The sequence below is a fragment of the Homo sapiens genome, chromosome X (assembly GCF_000001405.40).
Source record: "Homo sapiens chromosome X, GRCh38.p14 Primary Assembly".
In the NCBI taxonomy this organism is placed as follows: domain Eukaryota; kingdom Metazoa; phylum Chordata; class Mammalia; order Primates; family Hominidae; genus Homo; species Homo sapiens.
In genome coordinates this window covers 50,418,736-50,442,472 of record NC_000023.11, presented here as the reverse complement: position 1 = coordinate 50,442,472, position 23,737 = coordinate 50,418,736, and the positions used below count along the sequence as shown (strand labels likewise).

Below are 23,737 nucleotides of genomic sequence, written 5' to 3'. Positions count from 1 at the left end.
GTTTCTTCTTCTTATTTGTCAAGGGGGTACCTTGACACAGCTGAGCCCAGGGTTTTACAGCCCCATTGTTAAACTGTAATCAAGAAGTTTAATAGGTTTGTTTGTTTAGAATTTTGTAATCATCAGTTCTCAGTTGTGGCATGACTAATCAAAACACATTTATATTTGGCTTTTGGAATGTGTTTTATGCTTTCATTTAAATATAGTTACATAAACCTGAGTGACTTCATATTCCATTCAGAAAATAGATGGCATTATATCTTGGATTCAAGCAAAGTACCCAACTTAAGCAGGGTGCCTGTTATGAGACTTGAAAATGTGCATTTCACATATTTTTTAGCTCTTAGTTGCTCTAGGTTGTTTGTTATGTGAAGAAATGGCCTTGTGAGATTTACCTTGAGGAAATTAATTGAGCATTCTGATTCAAGAAGCCTCTTTTGGGGCTGTAGGTTGCATTAGAACACAGAACTCAACAAGAGGACAAGGAATATTATCTATGAAATTTCTCAAGATCCATTGTTGAAGTGTATCAATGAGACCCTGAAAGCATTTTGGCCCAGGAAGAAGACATAAGATGACATCATTTTTATTTATTTATATCAATGTATTAAAAGGTTTATACTTAAGCTAATATATAGCTACACACACATTCTGTTAAAAACCATATAAATGGCAATAATACAAAATGAATATGGTCTGTAACATACTTTGACATTCTTAGAAATAGATGCTATTAAGAAAATATGACATTTTACTGCATTTTAAACTTGGGGAAGAGAAAGCACTCTCTAAGTGTATCTACTGAGGCAATGAGTTATGAAAATGATAACTTACTTCCTCAATTACCTTTGTGGGACGTTGAAAGGACAAATCAGGCAGAATGTATAAAACATTTTAAGCATCATGGAAAACGTGTGCTTGATGCTTTTTTTCCATACAGTAAAAGGTTTTATACACGGAATTTTGCCTTCCTGAAATCCTTCACTGACAGCTTTTCCTTTAACTACTGCTTCTCTCTTTGATTCTACTATTCGCTCATTCCAGAACTATCTTCTCTCATCCAAATATTCGTGTACCCACCTTAGTTTCAGGCCATCAGTTAGAATGTCCTCTTACCTCCAAACATGCTATTTGGAGAACATTCATATATGGGAATCAATTAGTAAACCACGATTGACCACAGGGATTCCAAGGCACCTCTGAGTCCTTGAATGAGGAGATAGTGTGTGTATGCACTTTATACATTTTGAGGTAAGAGAGACTGTCCCCTTTCATATTTACTTAAAGTTTATGAGGTTTTCAGTTCATGTTTCCCTGTTATTTCTCATTATGTAACTTGCTACTCCTGGGTAAAAATAGTTCAGTGAATCATGAGCCTGGAAAAGAGTTTCACCATGTCTCTAGGTGAGAAAGACCTGGAGAAGTCAAAAAGCTCATCAAGTTAGGAACACTAAAGTGGAAGTTCTGCTCACCAGGAAGCCATGAGGATTGAAGGCAAATGGGTTGTTCCCTTATAGCTAATTTCTCTATAATAAGCAGAGAAAGTTTATTAGCATAAGCTATGCCCACCTACTCTATACTCACTTCCCCACATTAAAAGTTCTTTTGGTTTTCCAAAAGATTTGTTGGTATAGCAAATCTTCAAGTGCTCCTGACAGAATCGAGAACTAAATAGAATTAGCATTTCCTGCCTCTGCATCAAAGGTAAATGGAAGAGGAGGAACTTCTAGGAAAGGTAAGAACAGCCATTTGGAGGGGACAAGTTAACTATACAGTCATCCCATATAGCCATGAGCAAAGAGACGGATTTTTTTACTGTGACACCCACTCCAATTCTCTTAGCTTCCCAAAGGCATGCAGTAAATAAGAAGATGCATTTGCCATTTGTCACTGTATAACTCTACATCTAGACTTTCCTTGAGAGCCCAAAGCACATGAATGACAAAGTATAATAGAATAAGAAAGGGTTGGATTTTTGTTTTAGGCTAAGTGCATGGCAGAAGCTGTTACGTAGTATATAATTGTAGACTTCCAGGTCCTGTCCAGTAAAGTCATAGATGTTACTCATTGGTATGATAAAACCCTGCTCGTCATTGTTGGTTTCGTGGAAAAATGGCCTTGTGATATTTACTTTTATGTCATGTAACTAATTTGGGGTTTGCAAGGTTAGACTCTAAAAGCTATTGCTTTCCTCTTAGGTTATTGGCCCAGAATTACGTTATGCTATGACTAGAATACATTGACACCAGGTGAATGGTGATGCCTCAGTTATGGCAGATTATAGCAGCTCTTGAAACTACGTTTCCCATAACTGTGGCTGATGGAATACAACAGAAGAGGATATTTTCAACTCAGCCCTTTTTTGGGGCCTTCAAAAATTGGCTCGATGTTTTAATAATAAACATTCGAGAGCATTAGATTCGAAATGTCAATGTGCTAAATTTAAAGAGATACAAACACTTGGGTTCACTAATACTAACTGTTCTCATCCCCTTATTCTAACACTGGTTTCTCTTCCAGGCTTCAATAGAGCATTTCTTTCAACACACCTTAAGTCTTCATACCTATCATCAGAAGCCCTTCTGATGTAATAGGTTCTGTTTTTTTCTCTGGGGACCTCATGAGTCCTAGCACTATGAGTGTCTACAGTAAGCACAAATTCTTGCACAGACATAAATTTGATTTTCTATTTATAGTCTTTGTTTCTTTTCCCAGTGATCTTTGATCTGTTACTCATGGGAAGGAAAGAGTCTGTGCTTGCATGGACTAATCCACACAAATCAAAAGTACCCTAACCTCTGGTAGTAAAGTCCTTCTGGGCTTGGACTATTTATATGTAAATTATGCTTCCAAATTTGGGGCAAAACACTAATATCAAATTGAGCCCCCACTACCCTGTTGCAACCACATATACACTTATACTTGACAAGACTTGTGTTCTAATTTAGGGGTCAAAAATATAGCCACCATATTCACAGAAAGAAATAAGAAATATGTATTGCGTTTCTACCTTATACTGGGCACTTTAATGCATTATCTTGATCCCTACTGAGAGTTGAATGCCATTATGTGTATTTTTACAGATAAAATTGCAAAGGTTTTTAAGTTAAATGACTTGCCCAAGGACACACACCTAATAAGTGATGAAGCTGTGTTTCAAATTCGGATTTATCTGAGTCCAAATCTACACTCCTTTTTGCTGTACTATATTGGTTTTGCATAAATATATGTGCTTGGATATATTAATATAAGAATCCTCAGTGTATTTCTTCCAATAGTGACTGGCCTTTAGGAGCCAATTGATAGAAAAATGAATCCAGGAACATTTGAGAATACCTTTTTCATTGTCCTCTCCAGATGTGTTTTCCCCAATTCAATTTCACTTTATAAATATCCATCAAGTGCTAATTATGGGTAAGTTGTGGCACTTTGGGCACTGTGCCTGACAGATATAACTTGGCTATGACACATATTTGTGATTTACCCAGAGAGTTTTATGCTGAGGTTTGCCTTCCTGGCCTGCTCAGTTTTGAAATAATCTCTATTCCTGGGCCCAGGGTCTATCCCCGCAGTGTTAAATTAAGTAGGAGGCTACTTTATGGCAACAGACCTAAGCGATATTAATAGCTTGTTTTTTCTGTTATGCCTTGGCTTCCCTTGATGAATCAAGTGCCAAATTTTCATATCTTTATCCATAGTTCCTAGCAAGGAGATGGCAGCTTGGAGAAGTGATAGGATTTGCTCACACAGCAGGTTACTGCTGGTGGCTAAACTCCATGAAGTTCAGAATCCATTAAGTCCACTGTCTTTCCCAGGTGCCATATTGGTGCCCATATTGTACCTGTGTGCAAATGTTTCTGTGAAGTGGTATTATTCAGGTGTCTCGTGGTTTTGCAAACTATTCACCCTCTCTCACCTCAAACCACTCCCCACTTTCCAGGAAAGAGTGGCAGTGTGTGTGATATAATGAGTAGAAATGTGTCTAGGCTTTGGAATCAGACAAATTTGAGTTCAAAGTCATCCCTCTTTGTAACTGTGTGTGGTCTTGGAGAAGTCTGTTGAACATTCTGAGCTTCAGTGTCTTATCTGTAATATGAGGATGATAATAACTACCTCACATATTGTTGTGACTGTTAGCACTAATGTATACAAAGGGCCTAGCACAATATTTCAGAAAAGGTGTAGATATCAGATGCCAGTCTAATTAGAACATTGCTTTTTAATTATATGCATGGAGGGGTGGAAGGGGCAAGAGGAGGGTAGCTGTGTCATGGTATTTGTGTTTCAATTTTGGGTGTGTACATTGCTGTTAGTGAGTTTGCTTCAAACTGGACTCTCCCCTGCCATCTCCCTTGCTCCTTCCCTTTATTAAGCTTTATTGTTTAGGCCCTGTTTCCAATTAAAAGACAGTTCTTCTCCCCCACAGGACAAATTTGCCCACTGTTTTGCTTTTTTTTTGTGTGTGTGTGATTCAAGACTGGCTGTCCCCCAGATTGCAGCTGATAACCCTTCTCTTCCCAGTAGCCACTACTGCCTCTTCCCAGAAATTTTAAACAGGGAGCAGCACATATGGATTAGGGCACAATCTCAGAGTCAATGAAATGGTGGCTCAGAGATCTTTCCAGGACCAGTGGGAATCCCATGTGTCATTGATGGGAAAATAAGCATCCCTTGTCATCTACAAGTCTATGAGTGTTTGCTGCCACCTCTAGCCCTCCAATGCAACATGCTCATCCTATTCTTATTTATTTCCTACTCCTCTTCCTCCTCCCTTTCCAGGCCTATCAGACTGAGTTATAATACCACTGATCTCTTCCTTCCCTCCCACCCCTCTCTCTTTCTCTCTTATTGCATTTGTACTTTTATGGTCAGCCCTTCTGGATATGCTATCAAGAGTTGAGCAGCACAAAATCCAGATGGTAACAGTCAGCCTTGCTCTAAGCCCTGGCTGGTAGGTGTTAGAATTTGATTACTGTAGTTAGTGGCCATTTAGGATTCAGCAACCTTAATCCCTTATACATAGCCTGGCTAGAGAGGAGTGTAATTTTACCAGGTGTTTGCCTGCAGGGAGAAGTTGGAAAAGGATGCAGATCTGGATGGTGTTTTTGCCTGCAGGGAGAAGTCGGAAAAGGATGCAGATCTGGATGGTGTTTTTGCCTGCAGGGAGAAGTTGGAAAAGGATGCAGATCTGGATGGTGTTTCAACAGGGAAATAAATGGAGGTGAAACACTGTGAAAAAGGTAGCAGTAGGTTCTAGGGTAAAACATCTGAACAAGCTGTGGGAAGTTGCTCCCTGGGAGGGGAGGCAATACTGAGAGCCGCACTCTCAGTCTTTCTCAGTAAGATCCTTGTGTGATGCTTTTGTGCGTAATTGTATGGCCACGTTAATTTTTTTATTACTAGGAGCTATCCAGGTCAGAGGACAATTTCCCTTTGGGTCCAGCGTCATATTACTTTCGTTAACCAAGAGAATGCCTGCCACTGGCACACTTGATTATGTCATACTTCTTTACCAGTGATGATGGCAGAGAGTTTTATTGCAGGATAACAGGAAAGGTAAAACTAGGCTTTGAAATATGGACTACTAATCAAAATGATATCAAACAACACAGAACATATAAAGTGTGGCGATAACAGTGAAAAGAGCCTTGTACTGGAAGTCAGAAGGCCAGAACAAGTTTACTACTTAATGACCTTGGGCAAGTCACTTTTTTGAGTCACGGTATTATTACCTGAAAAAAAAAAAGGCCAATAGCATTACTTACCTGGCCTACCCCTCAGGGTTGTGTTCAGAATCAAGTGAGAATCTTCAATATCTTTATAACCAACAAAGTGCTGTGTAAATTAAATAATTATTACTTTAATTACTTTAGCATTTAAAATTAAAAACAAAAACAAAACTGAACCAACAAGCTGTGATTCATACCACCAAACTCCTGCCAAATCTGCCTTCTTCTGTCGATTGACTTAGAATAGGATATAATTTCCAATAAGACCAGTGGTTTAAACCTTCCTTTTTTCCTTCCACTGAAGGGATAACTAGTTATTCATGTCCTTGTGAAACCTCAAGAGAGATTTTAGCTCTGTCATTTATTAACGCATTAGGGAAACTACTTCATCTCTCCAAGACTCAGATTAGCATGGCGTCTATCTTTCAGAGTTGCTAAAATCAAATGAGATAACCAATGTAACATGATTAGCATAGTCCTTCCCACATAGTCAGGACTCACCAACTGTTAGCACTTCATTTCACTATTATTTCTCCAGGAGGCTTGTCCCTGATAGCCTCCTGTTACCAAGAATACATTCACATTGGTACAGCTTTTCAGCTTTGTTACCTGGCCAGTAATTTCTGTGGAACCAAGGCCCACAACATAGTTTCTTCTTTGACAGACTAGTGTCTCATGCAGTCACTTCTCTTCCCTCTCTTTTCCCTCCAAGTGTGATAGACTGTCAAACTACCATATCTCCTGACTCCATGTGAGGCAATTGTGTTCAGCCAGGGACAATCCTCTGCTCAGAGGCAGCAAGGCTACCCACAGCTTTAGGAATTGAGTGAGGGCTCCCATCAATCTGTCATCACCCATTCTACTCCCAAGCCAATCCAACCCCTGAGGTGACCTTACCTGACACTTTCCTCCTGCTCTCACCTACCACTGGTGGTACAGAGGCATTCTCTCTCTCTCTCTCTGAGTCTCTCTCTCTCTTTCTGAATATCTCTCTCTCTCTCTCTCTCATACACACACACACATACACACACACACTCCTTTTCCCACCACTCATACACAACTCCTAATGAATTAGTGAATTTCATCTTCCCTAGACCACCACTGCTGCAAGAAGCAAACAGAACCAACTGGTCTAGCATCAATTTCTGTCTACCTTCCTCATGATTCTTGGTAATGCCACTTCATAAAACTGAGAAAAAGTAAAAACCAAACCCACACATCCCCTCTTTATAATCTAACCACTTATTCCCCAGAGGACTTTTTAGTGAATGTATTCTTAAGTATTATTCAGGCCTTCAGATGTCTGTCTGCATGGGTCCAGTTTGGCAATAAAACAATTTCCCCAGCTCAGGAGTAAACATGTACTTCCCAAGTATACGTGTTTAGGTGATGTGGGCTCACCATCCCCACTTCTAAGAGGCATTTAAAGCCATGAATGGAAAGAAATGGGTACTTTTAAAAACCAGAGCACAGAAATCACCAAAATTGAGTTTCTCTGTTTTGCTGTTTGAGTGAGTTGTAGCCAAATAAGTTACATACAGGCATGCGCTGCATAACAATGTCTCAGTCGATGATGGACCTCATATACTATGGTGGTCCCATAAGATTATAATATTGTATATTTACTGTACCTTTTCTATGTTTACATACACAAATACCATTGTGTTACAACTGCCTACATTACAGTAATAGGTTGTGCAGGTTTGTAGCCTAAGAGCAATAGTTTATGCCATATAGCCTAGGTGTGTAGTAGGCAATACCATCTAGGTATCTAGGTTTGTGTAAGCATACTCTCTTGTTAGCACAATGATGAAATGGCCTAATGACATGTTTCTCAGAATATATCTCTGTCTTTAAGTGAGGCATAACTGTATTTGCATATTTACAAGCTTCCTTTTTGGCTTTAGGTTGCAAGCACTTTTAAATACCTCTGGGGGCTGAAGTCTCCAGATTTAGAAGCTCCCAAGCATGGTCCAGCATATTGTTACAAAGTTGTATATATGCAAAATTCAGGATTATGACATTTCAGGTACCTCTCTAAAGGACTGTTTTTTTTTTTCCCTGCCTTCTTGTGAAATCATTTGCAGTACATGGTCCCCTTCAAGAAATTCAGCTAAACTAGTGGGAAATCTGCAGATATCACTGGTCCATGGCTTTTCCTGCTGGGTGAAATAGTGGCCCCTGGGGGAAAAAAGAAGTGAACTGAAGTGATCCCCAAGTTAGATCTCACACCCAAGTCAGATCATGATAACCGTCATCATGTAGTTATTTGATATGAGAGTGGGGTGGGGAGAGACAGTAAAGTAAAAAAGATCAGGGTTCAAACCCCAGCTCTGCTATTCACTGCGACTTAGAACTAGACACTTAACCTCTCTGAGCCCCAACTTCTTCACTTCCCTCACAGGACTGTGGCTGCGGGCATTAAATAAGATAATGCATGTAAAGCAAGGGCAAATAGCAGGCATTTGCCAGCCAGAAACAAATCTCTTCCTTTGGAGAAGGAGGGTTGAAGAGAAACTTAGAGAAGAAATTGCTACTCCTGCTGCTTCTAATGAGGGCCATCGCCAGAGTCACAACAGGAGCCACAGCTCTCATAGTAGATGGTTAGGATAAACAGGGCATGTTTCTTGGTGGTGGGAGCCCAGGGTTAGTTAGAAGCAGTGAGGGAAGTGTCCCTGAGAGAATAAACGTCCACGGAATGTTAGCAGAACCTTCTTCTCTGGTAGCTTATGGTCAGGTAAAAGAATGGAAAAGAAGGCAATTGGAAGCAGGCATTGCTTTGTCACTTTTTATGCGATGGCAGCACCAGATAAGCTAACTGATGTCCTGACCTCTGTGATCTTGCTTAGGTTGAGGACCAGGGTCCAAGTTACCCTGGTATCTTTTTGGAGGAACTTTGTGTGACCAAAACGCTTCTTTTCTAGGCAAGCAGCAACTACTGCTGTAGCCATAGGTGTCTCCCATGAAGCTTCCACTTATACTATTCCTTTCACTGGATTTCCTGTTTCTTGGCTTTTGGCTCTCCAATGGTCAGAAACAATCCTCTTTCCCCTACTCAGAACTTTGAGTCTTCCCTGGATTTGTGGAGCAAAGGCAACCTTCTGCAGGAAGGTTTATCATAAGCCACTTTTCTCCTCAAACCCCCAAAGCTCTTACCCAGCCCTTCCTTTTGATCCTACTCTTAGAGTCAAGCCATTTTCCTGCTGGTTTCCTCACATGCCATTCCATGCCATTCCCCTAGAGCCCTGTAACTGTGCACATATTCCAAGAGGCATTCCCAATACAGTGAAATCTCAATGGCTGCAGTTATAGGGCACCTTCACTCACCTTACGGAGGTTGGTGAGGAGTCCCAACACAACTGAAATACGGTGGCCTGAGGCCCAGTGCTCTACAACTAATTTGCTATTTGACTTGAGTAAGCACAGCCCCTCTTGGAGCATTATTTTCATAATCTCTAACAGGGCAGGGAGATCTAAGATTACTCATTACTAAGGTCACGGTTAGCTCAGAAAGTTAAAAGGCCAGTTTTGTGGCATGAACACAGACTTTGAACTAACATAGACCAGAGCTTGTATCTCCATCCTACCAACTTAACAGTAGGCCCCTTGTCGCAGTGAAATGGCTTGTTCAAGGCTGCACAGCTAGTAGGCAGCAAAGCCAGCATTCAAACCTATAAGTAGTTCTGGGCGGGCTCAGCAGAGCTCTTCCTCCTTCCTGGATGCAGCTAGTCCCAGGTCAATTACCAAGGGCCAGGTTACCACTTTCAGAACTTTGTCAGCCTGGGCTCAGATTGCTCACCTCCTCCCCATACCCCAAACAATTAGTGATCCTTACCCTCCCTAGGAATTCCAGTAATAGAAAAGAAGAAGGGGGGAGGGGCAGAGATATTTGAGAAGACACAGGCTTAAAGGCTAAGCTTCCCTTTACATTGTTCCTTTCACTGGGTTTCCTGTTTCTATGTTTTTGGCTCCCCCAAAACTTATAGGTGTTTAGGCTTTATGGTCCCAGCGGACTAGTTTTAAAGTCATCAACTCTTGATATTTATTTTATCAATGTACTCAGACCAGTGCAAAATGACATGTATATACAGAGTTTTTGCAGTGTCATTTGTAATAAAATAAGATTTGAAAGCACTGTCTTTCAATAGGGAATTGTTTAAATAAATCACATTACATTCATTTAGTAGAATGCTATGCAATTGTAAAAAGAAAGGAAACCACTTAATATGTATCAACATCTAAAAGGGTTCATTGTATATTAAGTGTAGAAAGCAAGAAACAAAACATTGTACATAGAATGCTACGATTTACAGGAAGAAAAAAGAATATATGTGTATATATGTTTGCTCACGTGTGTAAAATACCTTTTTAGTGATATGCAAGGAACTGGTTAAAGTTTTTGCCTATTCATAAAAATAAATACGTATAGCATCATTATCAACTTTCTTTTATTTCACTGATAGAGAACAGGGACACAGACGTTCATCTATAGCTCTTCCTTAGCACAGGAAGCAGTGGGAGGAGATTTGCAGATACAGTCCTTGCAGACCTGCGTGGTAGAAAGATCTGGCTTTTCAGTGTTAGGATGACCACGAGGTCTCAGTTTGCCCAAGACCCTCCTGATTGTAGTGCTGAAACTCCTGGGAAAACCAGGACAGTTGGTCATCCTATTCCTCATCCTGCTGCTGCAGCCCTTAGACAGCCAGGAGGGAAGATTCCAGTAGTGGCATGAGCAGAGCGATGGCAGCAGCCCTTGGCTCCACAATCCACAAGTGACAAGGGACTCACAGAGTGGCAGGCACATGCTCTGTAAGGTATTCTCATCTAACAGACAAGGAAATTGAGGCTCAGAGAGGTTAAGTGATTTGCCCAAGGTCACACAGCTAGTAAGTGCTGGAGCCAGTCTGTCTGACTCCTGCCATGTCAACAGGACCCTGGGGAATGTAAAGCTTTCAGTGGAGCAGTGGGTCTGACCTTTCTTAAAGCCTAAAGCACCCGGAGTTGCATTTTAACCAAATCAAACACAGTTGCTTTGAATCAACTTTGGCAAGCGAGTGTTAGGAAACAGCTTTCTTCCCAGCACTCTAACCCAAGCAAAGACAATAGATGTTCCAGGTCTTTGGACTGAAGGAGTCATAGACAGAAAGCTGGCCTTCTCAGTTGTGCCCGTAATAATTCAGTTCTCACCTGGGAATGATAGCTTACTCATCCCCCAACTTGATCCAGCCTCCTACACAAGAGCAACAAGAGAAATTAAAACGGAAGAGCAGCCAACTAATAACAGGTAGTGGTGCATGTCATGATGCTTGTCTACTTTTTGAGTGGGTGGGGGTGGAATTCAACTTGGCTTATAACAGGGGACCCTTTTGCTAGGAAAAGGTAAATAATTCCCCAAAGCCTTATGCATCAAAAACGAACCAAGCAGGCTGAACATGGTAGCTCATTTCTGTAATGGGATTACAGAGGTGGGAGGATTGCTTGAGCCCAGGAGTTCAAGACCAGCCTGGGCAACATAGCGAGACTGTCTTTACAAAAAGATGAAAAAATTAGTCAGGCATGGTGGCGGGCACCTGTAGTCTTGACTACTCAGGAGACTGAAGCAAGGGGATTACTTGAGACAGGAGTTTGAGGTTACAGTGAGTCATGATTGCGCCACTGCACTTCAGCCTGGGTGACAGAACAAGACCCTGTCTCTTAAAAAAAAATGCACCAAGCAACAGAAAAACAGATGTAGCAGATAGTAGAAGCTTTAGGGACTTGGGAGAAGCATAGGAAAAGGTCACAGCAGCAGCTGTACTTGCCCTTTCCCAATTAAGCAGCAGGGGGGTGTTAATTATATACAGGAAATTGGGCTGCTTTACAGACTCTGTTGAAATATTTTATAGAAGATATTTTATAAATATGGATTGAGGGAAATGTTTATCCTCATTAATTTATTAATTTACACATGCTGAGTTGTACAGAGCACCAGAGAGAGATACTACCTGTGCCAGGGTGTGGGAGTTTCTGGGAGCAATGGATTTGGGTATTGGTTTATCAAAGAGGATTCAGAATGAAACTGAAGCAGAGTTTTCCAAAGCTTTAGCCTTCTCTGCAAGGGCTGCCATGGTTTTGGCAAAGACCATTTTGTGTGAACACTGTACACAGGACCTGAATTACGTATGCCTTGGAGTCCTACATTCTTGAATTTGAATGAAGCCAATTGATCTCTGTGGTGATTGAATTCGGGACAATAGACTAATTAGCACCATACTCACTCTCACCACAAAACAATCAGCCTTGAGGGTTTAATAGTAGAAACCATAATGTTATTTGGGTTTTAATGTCTAATAGAGCTGGCAGGAAGAATTAGGAACCCTGCCTGCAGTGTGCTGTGGTTTAAGAAGCGTCGAGTGGTAACATGACATTTCAATATGTACAAGGATTCTACAGCCCTTCCTAAATTATTTCTATCTGCAGCATCACAGATATTGCCACAGAAATGTGGCAGCTTGGACCAGGAGGACTACATGTGTGTCCCTTCTTATGAAATAGCTGTGTGCTTATAAATGTGGCCACCAAGCAAAATTTCCCATATGGAGTCCCATTCCTCATTGCCTTTTGTACTAACATCAGAGATGCGTTCTTCTGACAAATGTTTTAACTCCAAGATGTTGCAAAGTCTCAAAACTGCAAAACAAACATGGGCTATCTTATTTGAGAGGAAAAATTTCAACTATTTCCTCGGGCAAGCCACTTGAAGATGCTAATTTCAGGGTGTCTTTCATAGGACAGAATTGCGTTAGAAAACGCCTTTCACTACCTGCTTCAGAGGGCTGATGAGAAGCAAAAGCACTTTATTAATTACAAAGTGCTGTCAACATGTGAATTCTAATTACTCTTCCAGTCAATCTTGGACTGTCACTTTAAAAAAACTGGAGAACTCCCTTCTCGCCCGCCAACGAATGTTAGGTCTTTAGAAAAACAAGGAATATCATTTGCCACTTTGAGGGAAGCTCATTAAGAGTTCTAGTATGGAATAGTCAGAGCTGTTCATAGAATACTTTTTTGTGTGTGTGACGGAGTCTTGCGCTGTCTTCCAGGCTGGAGTGCAGTGGCGCGATCTCGGCTCACTGCAAGCTCCGCCTCCCGGGTTCACGCCAGTCTCCTGCCTCAGCCTCCCAAGTAGCTGGGACTACAGGCGCCCGCCACCACGCCCGGCTAATTTTTTTTTTGTATTTTTAGTAGAGACGGGGTTTCACCGTGTTAGCCAGGATGGTCTCGATCTCCTGACCTCGTGATCCGCCCGCCTCGGCCTCCCAAAGTGCTGGGATTACAGGCGTGCTCGCCGGGCCGAGAATACATTTTAATTCTTAGCAATCTATGATCTTGTCATTCAGAATAAAGTTTGGCAGGGGGATGGGGTGGGGTCTGTGTTCAACCTGTTGTGTACATACTAAAAAACCAGGCCCTCCCAGTTTTCTCATCACGGGGAGAGGAAGCACAGAGTCCACTAGCATTTTGTAACTGTGGGTACTTGGACAAAGTAAGGGAAACCAAGCCTCAGATTTACTGTCTGGAAGTCAGACGTGATACTGCATAGTTGTGAGGAGGCAATGAGATGATATTATCTGCCAGAGGCCAGGGACCAGGAAGCAGTATGCAAATCTTCTTAGGGGATAGGCAAGGGTTCTCCCTTCAGTGCCTCCCTTGGCAGGATGCATTTGCTTGTTACCTTGCTTCTTCCAATTTTTGCCTCAGGACCTTGTTCAGTTTAGTAGCCCCAAGCGGGTAAAGATTGTTTTACATGCACATAGTTTATCGACTTGGGGCAATCAAGCAATGGATTTTTAGCTTCTGCCTGTTCAAACTGGCTTCCTGGGGCTGCCTATTGGTTTTGGGGTTTTGACAAAATAAACAATGGTTTATTTAGAAACAGTAATTGGGTGAGTAGGGAAGTTTCCCCAAAGGAGGACAGAATTCAGAAGGAAAAGGACTACAGGTACTTTACCTTTTCCAAGATCCAGGTTTGGGCATTTGTGGAAGTTCAGAGCTGATGACACAAAGCCTCTGTTTAGAACTTAAGGAACTCTTATCATGCACCCTGCGAAAGGAGGCATTGAAGGGAGAGCCCTTGCCTATCCCCTAAGAAGATCTGCATTCTAACTTAATTAACAAAAAGTAGGTTTTAACTTCATTTTATCTTATTCAAAGCAATACAACTTCATTTGGTTCCTTCCAACAATGCCCTCTTGGGTCTTTTAACTTGGTGAAGAGGTTTATCTCACTAAACAATTTTAGAACCACAGAGCTTACTTGCTCCCTAGCCTTGACATTCTGTTCTTGTCATGGTTGACTGTGTCCTCCTGTTTCCAGTTTCCAGATGGTAATTTGGCTTTTGACAGAAACAAAGTAACTTGATAGGCAAAAGAAGGACAGTTCCCACAAGCTACCAACCCTGTTCTGGTGCCAAAGGATTATAAACTTTGTGTTGACAAGCCATAGTATCTGCGAGAGTAATTCTAGACTTAATCTAAAATGTGTTAATAATAATAATAATAATAATAATTTATTATTGGAAAGTAGCTCCACAATCTCATCATCCACTTCAGAAATAAATCTTCCTCATCTCCACTGGTAGACACACATTGAAACTCTCCCCTTCTCATACCCTCAGACCTGGGGTATCAGGTATAAAACAGATTACTTCATTTCTGCCATCTCTTTTTCCCTTAAAGAACTCAAACAACCACTCCCTCAAACAGCCAGGGTGCAGACAGAGCTTTTGTTGTATTTTTCAATGAATATTCCACATACTTATGCCCCTGCCATATCACATGGGTATATGTTTATGTTCCTTTAACAATTTTAACATTTTAGTCCCTTTAATTATTTTTTTCATTATTATAGCTTTATACTAGGTTTTAAAACCTAAATAGCAGGTAGTTCCCTCTTAATTATTCTTCTTTTTCAGAATTCCCAGCCTGTTTTTGCTTGCTTATTAAAAAAAATTAATAGACCATTTTTGGCAGTTTTAGATATATAGAAAAATTGGAAAGTAAAGAATGTACCCATATACCCCCTCCCACCCCCTCCCAGTTTCCCCTGTTACCTGCTTGGGGCTACTAAACTGACCAAGGTCCTGAGACAATCATTATTATTATTATTATTATTATTATTATTATTAACGTCTTGCATTAGTGCAGTGCATTTGTTACAACTGGTGAGCCAATATTGATTTTTTATTATTAACTAAAATCCATCATTTACATCAGGGTTCATTCTTGGTGTTGTACATTCTATGAGTTTTGACAAATGTATAATGACATGTAGCCACCATTACAGTATCATACAGGGTAGTATCACTGCCCTAAAAATCTCCTGTGCTCCACCTATTCATCTCTTCCCAACTGCCCTTGAGCTTCTGGCAGCCACTGTGTTTTTTTACTGTCCCTATAGTCTTGCCTTTTCCAGAATATCATGTAGTTGTATTGATATAGTTAATGTAGCCTTTTCAGATTGACTTCTTTTACTTAGCAATATACATTTAAAGTTCCTCCATGTCTTTCCGTGGCTTTATAGTGCATTTATTTTTATTACTGGATAACATTCCATTGTCTGGATGTACCACAGTCTGTTTACCCACTCACCTATTGAAGGACATCTTGGTTGTTTCCAAGTTTTGGCAATTATGAATAAAACTGCTATAAACATTCATATGCAGGTTTTTGTGTGGACATAACTTTTTAATGCATTTGGGTAAATAGCAAAGATTTCAATTTTTAGATCATGTGGTAGAAGTATGTTTGATTTTGTAAGAAACCGCCAAACTGTCTTCCAAACTAGTTGTACCATTTTGCATTCCTACTAGCAATGAAGGAGAGTTCCTGTTGCTCCATATTCTTGCCAGCATTTAGTATTGTCACTGTATTGGGTTTTAGCTATTCTAATCCACATGTAGTGGTATTTAATTGTTGCTTTATGATGTATTAATAATTTTTAAAAGTTATTTTTCTAGTTGTTGCTCTGGGCTTATACATCTTTACTTATCAGAATCTATTTCAGATTTGTATTAATTATGGGGAGATATAGAAAACTTATTCCTATATAGCTCTATTGTCTGTAAGGGCCCCCTGAGTGGTAGAGCTTAATTGGGGTCCCCTGAGTTGAGGGTGGCTACTGGTTTGTTGGGAGTAGGCTCTGAATAACCAAACAGGATGACTTGCTGAGGAAGGGGATGTGATCTACAGGCAGATAAAATAGGAACTTGAACAAAGATAATAATTTCTCCTTCTTGCTCATAGTAATATCATTAAAGAGCTTATCAAATGCATAAGCTAAAATCTGAGTCCTCTTGGGCTATCATATTCACAAGTTATAAATTGAAAGATTTTTGTTTACTAGCCCATGACTTGCAATGCCTGAAAAATAGGTTCTTTAAGGGTAAGTGCTTCTCAGAACAGGCCAAGAGAATGTAGTAGTGTAAATATCTGACAGTCAGAGTTGCAACACTTTAAACTGTGAATGGAGGGAAGGGAAAAGTAGCCAACCAAAAACTGTAAAATGAGCTGGTACAGGGGACATTACATACGACAAAATAAGAAGAGTAAAGGAAGCATTTAATAATTTTAACAGAGCAGAACAAGTTGGGAAAAGGGCAGAGATAATGGATGTTGATTCAGTTGTACAGAATTGGAGCCGTTAAATTTTGGAAATTAAGTCTTTAGCAGAAAGGAGTAAATAGGACTGCCTAGGTATTATGAAGACTTAGTATGGAGAAGTATATGGATAGAGGTGAGAAGGTTAGGATAAAAAAACCAAAAGCCATTTTTGAGAACTGTACTTTAGGCCACCTGGCCAGAAAGGGGAAAGGAACAATATATTATTAATGCTTATAGCAGTTGTTTTCTCTTGGATGACTCAATTTCAACAATTTAAATATAATTTCTTACTCTCTCTCACTGCAACCTCCCTCCTTCCCACAAGATCTTATTGTTCTCTTTGTTCTGACTCCTCAGCACCATTCTTTTGCATCCCAAGGGTGTTACAATAACCTTGAAACTCCCATAAGCTATGAAGAGGGCTCAGGTAAATTGTGACTGCTTATGAACTGACTTTTCAGTTGAGATACAGAGGCTCTGTCTACTAGTACTATCCAATTGGTTAGAGAATTGAAGAGTGTATAAATGTGTGTGTATGAGTACGTGTGTGTGTGTGTGTGTATGTGTGTGTGTGTGTATTTGGGAGAACAGGAATGGCAAATAACTGTTTAGATCAGAGTCCTAAACTCAAATTCCTGCTGGAGTCAGGCACCCCATCTGAAGGGAGCAGCTGGTACTCAGTTTCTGCAGATTGTTGCCATGTGAGAATATAAATGCAATGTTACCAGATGTTCTAATTTTTTTTAAAAAAAAAGAAACAGGAAACCTGAATTTTTATATGAAGTCTTCCACCTTTCAAATATTACCAACTAATTTGAAACTTTGAAAAACACTAGGTAGGCCAAACAAAATACTTCTCCAGCCACCCAATGGTGAATGCTAATTTAGATGATAGAATTCATGGTAGAGCCTTGATGTGGTGATTTTAAACTCAGTCTGGCCCTTTGTCCATTAAGTATGGATTTGATTCCAGCTTGTTGGGGTTGAGTACTTCTCCCAAATGGCAGTCTTGCATGTTGGTTTGTATCCTATAACTTAAGTGAGAACTTCCTCAATGATGAAAATGGTAAGTAGACTCTATGCTTGGTTAGGATCAGTCTGTTCAGCAGGTAACTGAAAAATCAGTGGTTAGACTATGAGATGTAAAGAAAGTAATCAGAAGGTAGTTTTCTTGTGGTTCCTTTTTATGTGCTTGCTCCTTCATGAGATCATGAGTCCGCTGAAGACAAACCATGGTAAAGACTGGATTTGGCTCTAAACGTGTTGAGAAGCTATTGGAGGCTTGCGAACAAGGAAGGAACATGATCTAACTTAATATTCTAAAAGGAACACTCTAAAAGAGCTGACAGGAGAGCCCTGTCTGGAGCTACAATCTGGAGACTTCCAGAAAATCTGCCTTTACAGCCTTTTCCTCTACCACGCATTCTTTCCTAAGAATGCTGTTCTTATATTTATGATGTTCATGTCCCTGCCCTCTACTGCAAATAGAGATATCCTCTGTGGTTTTTGGGCCACATAGTCTGATAAACGTGAAACCTATATCATCCTGAATGAGTAATCCAAGGGTAACCAATGTCTCATCTGATTGAATGAGCTTCACTGTGTTCTCACCTGGCCTTCAGGCCATTTCTCAGATATGTGACAAGATAGAGCCTTCTAGATATCTGCTGTTTCCATCTGAGAAAACAAGTGATATGACCTTATGAATTGATCTAATTGCTCAACACCATGCTTCTATCTTTCAGAAAATATTGAAGGAAGGACCTATGCTGAAGAACTGTAACTCTTTCAAGAGATGGAAGCTTAGATATTTTCTGGTTCAAGGACAGAAGCTCTACTTTGCACACCATCCCGCGGTAATGTATAGCATATTGTCAACTAGATTAATGGGTGGGTGCCAGGAAACCTTTGTGTGGGAAGATGGACTAATAAGTAAAGACATGTCAGCAAACATTAGGGTGGAAGTTGAAGCCCTCTACTCTTTTTTTAACTTGCCCTTTTGGGTCAAATGGGGATACTTTTCTCTCCTTTCTCTTTTCTGTATCCCTTTCCTTTTGTATTTTTCCCAGCTAGCTTCTGCACCCAGAACCAACTATAATTTTGGGGATCCAGTGCAAAATGAAAATGTAGTGCCCTTTATTCAAAAAGCAGGGGGAAGTTGTATTAAAGCTACTAACATATAACGCTTTATGTTTATACTAAAATATTAATATAAAGCAAAGACTTGTCATGGTGTTTTTATTTGCTAATGCAATTCTAAGTAAAGAAAAATACGATTTTAAATAATTAGCATGAATTTCACTATTTATCTGCACACTATACAACACCAGTTTTAAATGCAAATGTAAGAGCATTTAATTCAAATAAAGAATCACTAAAATTATACAATTTGTGTTTAGTAGCTCATACAAGCGTAGTATTTTGTTCTCAGTAGTATAAAAAAACTGCACAAAACTAGCTCAACTGTTCATATTTTACTTCTCGATACTTGCACATTCCACCAACACTTTTTTAACTGAAAGAACTATGGGTTGCCTTATCTTTCCATTTCCTTCCATGTCATCATTTTTAGCAGAAATTGTTGGCTAACACAGGGGTGTAACGAGCAAGAAAGAATACAATAGGGCTTCTTGGTTCTTTGTATTTCTTAGAAACCATTGTCTTTTTCCTATGTCTGAAGCAAGTTCTGGTTCCAACAGAAAGTATGACCTCTCAGGGCTGTCAGCTCCCCTACTGCTTACTCAGTTATAGATGTAACACACTTATCTTGTACTTGATTTGAGTCTTGCTAAACTCCCACTTATCATGGGTCCACTAGAATTCTATGTTCACGGGCATCACAAATGCAAATGGAGCAACAAGACATGGGGTGGAAATGTATAATGCGCCTATCTCCTCTGCTCATATGCATGATCTGTTGTCCCATTGGACTTTACTTACAAAACACATGCTCAAAGACAAAATTATGAGGTAATTTTAAGATGACAACAACAAAGCATTAAACTAAGTGTGAGGCCCTTCTGAACATGGGGCCCTGTGTGACTGCACAGTTTGTATACTGGTGAAACCGGCCTTGCCTGTATCCATGATACTGATTTCCTGCTGCTGGCTAGATGGTATCTACTATGGCCAGTGAATAAGGAGGCACAGGCCTCAAACTGGATGGGACTAGCAACACTGCAAAGGTTGCCACCCAATAAAATAGGAGTTTATCACAATCTGTTTCTCTAGGACTCTAGTTAGACCACATCTCATTATCTTTTCCAGCATAAGCCTTTATGTTTAAATAATTCTGAGCTGACCAACTCAAGCCTTCCTATAATTCCACATAAATGTCTGTAAAAAGTTTATTTTGATTTCATTTTTTGGTCACATGATACATTAACAAAAATCATGTTGCTAAATAAATTTTAGCCCTCAAGCCAAAGAAATGATTGGATCATGACTGCCACAAATGCCTGTCAGTAAGTGTGTGTGTGTGTGTGTGTGTGTGTGTGTGTGTGTGTTTACCTTTTAATGTCTCTTTGCATCATTAACCAGACGGTTCCTTGTCCCTCTCTGTCTTATATCTTTCCAGTTTGCACACTTTGAAACGATTGATCTGTCTCAAGCCACTGTGGCAGAAAGCAGCTGTAGAAACCTTTGCCACAGTTTTTGTGTAAGTAAGATTGGGAATGACTGAATGGGCAGGGGTAGGGGCTAGCTGGGAAGATAGCTTTCCATGACCACTTCTTGCTTCTTTGAACTTCAGGTTTCCAAAGTTTCCTTTGATCCCAAAGTGTTATCATTCATGCAAACATTTTCTAGCAGCCCACTGATAGGGAAGAAAAAAAGTGATGGTCTTGTTCCTTATTACCAGTATAAAGCTAAGCTGATTTCAAGGGGAAGGGAGTATGTGACTTATAAAAATCAGTCCTCCCAGTGAAGGTGATTTAGAAGAGTATCACTGGGAGTCTTTCAAGAGACTGCTAATATGTTATAGAAAATGGCAGGATAATTGAGTTACATGACATCCTCTCCTCTGATGAGGTAGATAAGAGCCCTAATTCAAAGTGAAATCTACCCCATGTTGAGATTACTGATGAAAGTGCCTCAAAGAAAGCAGAAGATTTTCTAGGGAAGTGTCTAGGGCTTTGTGTGACTGAAATGTCACATGGCTTTGGTCATTCAAGTGAATCCAGACCAGAAAACTCACTGAAAAATAGAAAGCTTGGTGGCCCAGGAATTCTCCTACCCACCTCCTTCCAGAATTGTCTTCTCCCAGCCTCAGTGGTGGGATATGGAGACTGGAGTTCCTGCTTAGGCATGTAGGGGATAGTACCTAACAGACTAAAGAGCTGCAGACCCAATATCCTGCTTCCATAGTTGGTTCATGTTCCATCCTCCCTTGAAAGGAGAGCGGCTGGGTCTAAGAAGAAGATTTTGCTTTGTTACTCTCTCATTACATCACCCTGACACAGGGTAAAACTGAGGGCTCTGTTGACCAGTCCCAAAAAGCTGAGTCTTTGGGTGATGAGCCTATAGGGTAATGTTTTTGGTTTCCATTCTACAAAGAAAGAAATCATAAAGGCTAGGCTGCCCCTTAACTTAATTAAAGCACAGAAGCACTGAACATCAGCCCCACTCAAGAATGGGTTTGGACCAAAGGAGTGGCTGTTATCACAATCCCAACTAGCTCCTATTTCCATCGACCACATAATCTCACTGTGTTACATGCAAAAGAAGAAACAAATTCCTTGTTGGTGTGGTGAGCTCTAGCTTCAAGACTTGGGGAGCTTATAGTAAAGGCAAGTAGGGCAATGGAAGCAATGACTGATGCTGTAGCTATCCATGATCCCTCCTGCCCTCTGGGAAAAGATCAAGTCCTGCCCATGGTCTACATCTGCTAGACTCTCAGTGTGGCATTCTTATTATTCCTGCCTGGGTTCTTGTGCCAAGCAGGGTTAAGAAAGACAACTGTAAAATTCTCTTCAGGTTGTCCCTAACCATAAGAAAGAAAGAAACTGGGTTTTTAGACATCTCACTCTCCCACTAAACAGAAACAGGGACACCCTAATGAACCACATACAATTTTACCACTTCAAGTAGACAGAGTAGCAGTAAGCAAGTAGGGTTTTCAGGCAAACTAACTTGAGTAATAGATGGTACATGGTTTAGTATTTAAAAGAATGAATTCTGAAGCCAAAGAATCTGGATTTCAATTCTGGTTTAGTTTTTTACCTGCTGGGTGACCCTGAGCAAATCATTTAACTCTTTTTGTCTTGGTTTTCTCGGCTATGAAATGGGAAAAATAACAATGCCCATCTCACAGGGTTGTAATGAAGATTGAATGAAATCATATGCATAAAGTGCTTTAGAATAGTTCTTGGCACATAGTGAGTGGCATTAAAATGTTAATTATTGCTATTAGCATTATTATTATTTCGGATGGGTAACTAAGGAGCTACGAGTGGTTCTGGGAATGTCTGTCTTATATTCAAGAAGTGGCTTATGTTGTGCTTGGTACATCTGTGTAGTTTCTTAGAGAGTTCACAGACTGTGTTTGAAGGCAAAGTTATGGAGTGGGAACCAGCTAATAATGTGGCTTTTTGTTTAGGTTATTACACCACAACGAAAAATCACTCTGGCTGCACCCAACCGGAAAGACATGGAAGAATGGATTAACATCATAAAAACCATCCAACAGGGAGAAATTTATAAGGTAAGAAAACTAGTAGAGAAGCCACACAATTCTTAATAGGTAAATAATTAATTGCATTAGTTAAGCCACCTTTAGAGCAGGGAAATAATAAGATGGAAGCAGAGACCACCTGTTTAGGAATTATAGACAGAAAACCTCTTTAGAATTATTCATAAATAGGAGTAATTCACTTGGACTCAGACCTTTGTGAGTATGTGGTGCAGATACTTCTATACATATCCACTTGATATGTAGATGTCAATGTATGCCCAATGGATGAGTCACTCAAGATGTATGTGAGCAGCTAATGTAGATGCCCTTAGGTTAGGAAAACCGGAATCAGCAGTCTTGACTTGGGTCTGCTGAATGACTATAGTGATAGCTAAGGAAACTGAGACTCAGAAAGAGGTAGGAACGAGTCCAAGGCAGAATCACTATTCAGTAGTGAAACCAGGATTCTGATGCAGGCTATGTGACTCCAAAGCCTATGTCCTTGACCACTGTGCTCTTTGCCTTTCTGTTTTCTGTCTACTACAAAAGTAATGTAGAGGGAAGAGCAATAAGTATCCTCTCCAAAGCTTAGCAGGGTTCTTTTTTACCTGGTGGTACCAAATCTCTGGCCACTGCTCCCTGCAGTAACTGGTGCAATCAAACTTCAGGAGATACACTCTGCCTGCCCTTCTATAGATCTACCACAGTTAGAATTTATGTAAGTTCCAAGAGGAGAGAGATCTGTGTCACTTATTTACTTACAGCGGTCTCTGGCACATAGTAAAGGCACAATAAATATCTTTTGAATGAATAAATGAATCTGCAGGAAATCTTGGAACCAGAATTTGGACAGAGAATGATACATGGTTCATCTTGAAGCAAAGTTCTGCTGTAAAGGTCTTAGAGATAAAGGGGAAGGTGAATCCAGACTTTAAAACAACCTAATGTCTTAAATAACTAGCAATGGGTAGAAGATTGTTCTAGGCAATTTGGATGGAGCAGTGTGTGAAGTGGCTTGGTGATAATGCAGTTTAGAAATAAAACTAATGCCATAGAGAAGAACCATCCATCCCTACTCCCCGAGGACTTCTCAGGCTTTTGACCACTTAGTCTCATAACTATACATTCTCCTCCCTATAGCAATGATGGGGAACATGACAAGATGGCTGACTTGAGGTCTCTCCAATATCATTAAGGCCTCTCTCAGTCCCATGTTATATATGCTTAAATTGAGAGATCCTTGGCTTAGCATTTGATGGTGATCTTTATATGATTTAGCACTCAGAATTTTACCTCTTTGTTACTTTCTTCTTCCTTTCCTAATGGAGAAGCACATCCCCTTTTTGCCCCCGCCCCAATCAATGAGGCCACTATGGTACAACATTAGAGGCAGTCATAAAAAGTTGTGAATTCCATGCTCCTTTCCTGTCTTTGTCCCTGTGGACCAATATCTTTCCTTCCTATGACTTAACCTCTATTCAAACTGGAGGGTTTCTCATGAATCATATAACATTTTCAATTTGGCATAAAAGGTCGCATAGGATGTTTTGAATTTTAATTATTGTTCTAGGAATGCAAAAACTCCTAGAGAAATTCTGGTGACTACCAGAGAATTGGTGCGCCATCCCTGAATTCATTGAATTAAACACCTAGGTATTGATTACCCAGCACAAACTAGAAAGGAAAAAAATCTCCCT

General features: G+C 40.2%; 1 protein-coding gene across 1 annotated transcript in view; it reads left to right on the top strand.

The window, feature by feature from the left end:
* Positions 1–23,737, top strand: part of DGKK (diacylglycerol kinase kappa) — a 105,417-nt gene that overhangs the window by 28,353 nt on the left and 53,327 nt on the right. The window contains exons 2-4 of the mRNA NM_001013742.4: positions 18,115–18,225; positions 19,947–20,027; positions 21,966–22,070. Of these exons, the coding sequence (NP_001013764.1) occupies positions 18,115–18,225; positions 19,947–20,027; positions 21,966–22,070 (297 nt within the window). The remainder of the gene's footprint in view (positions 1–18,114; positions 18,226–19,946; positions 20,028–21,965; positions 22,071–23,737) is intronic.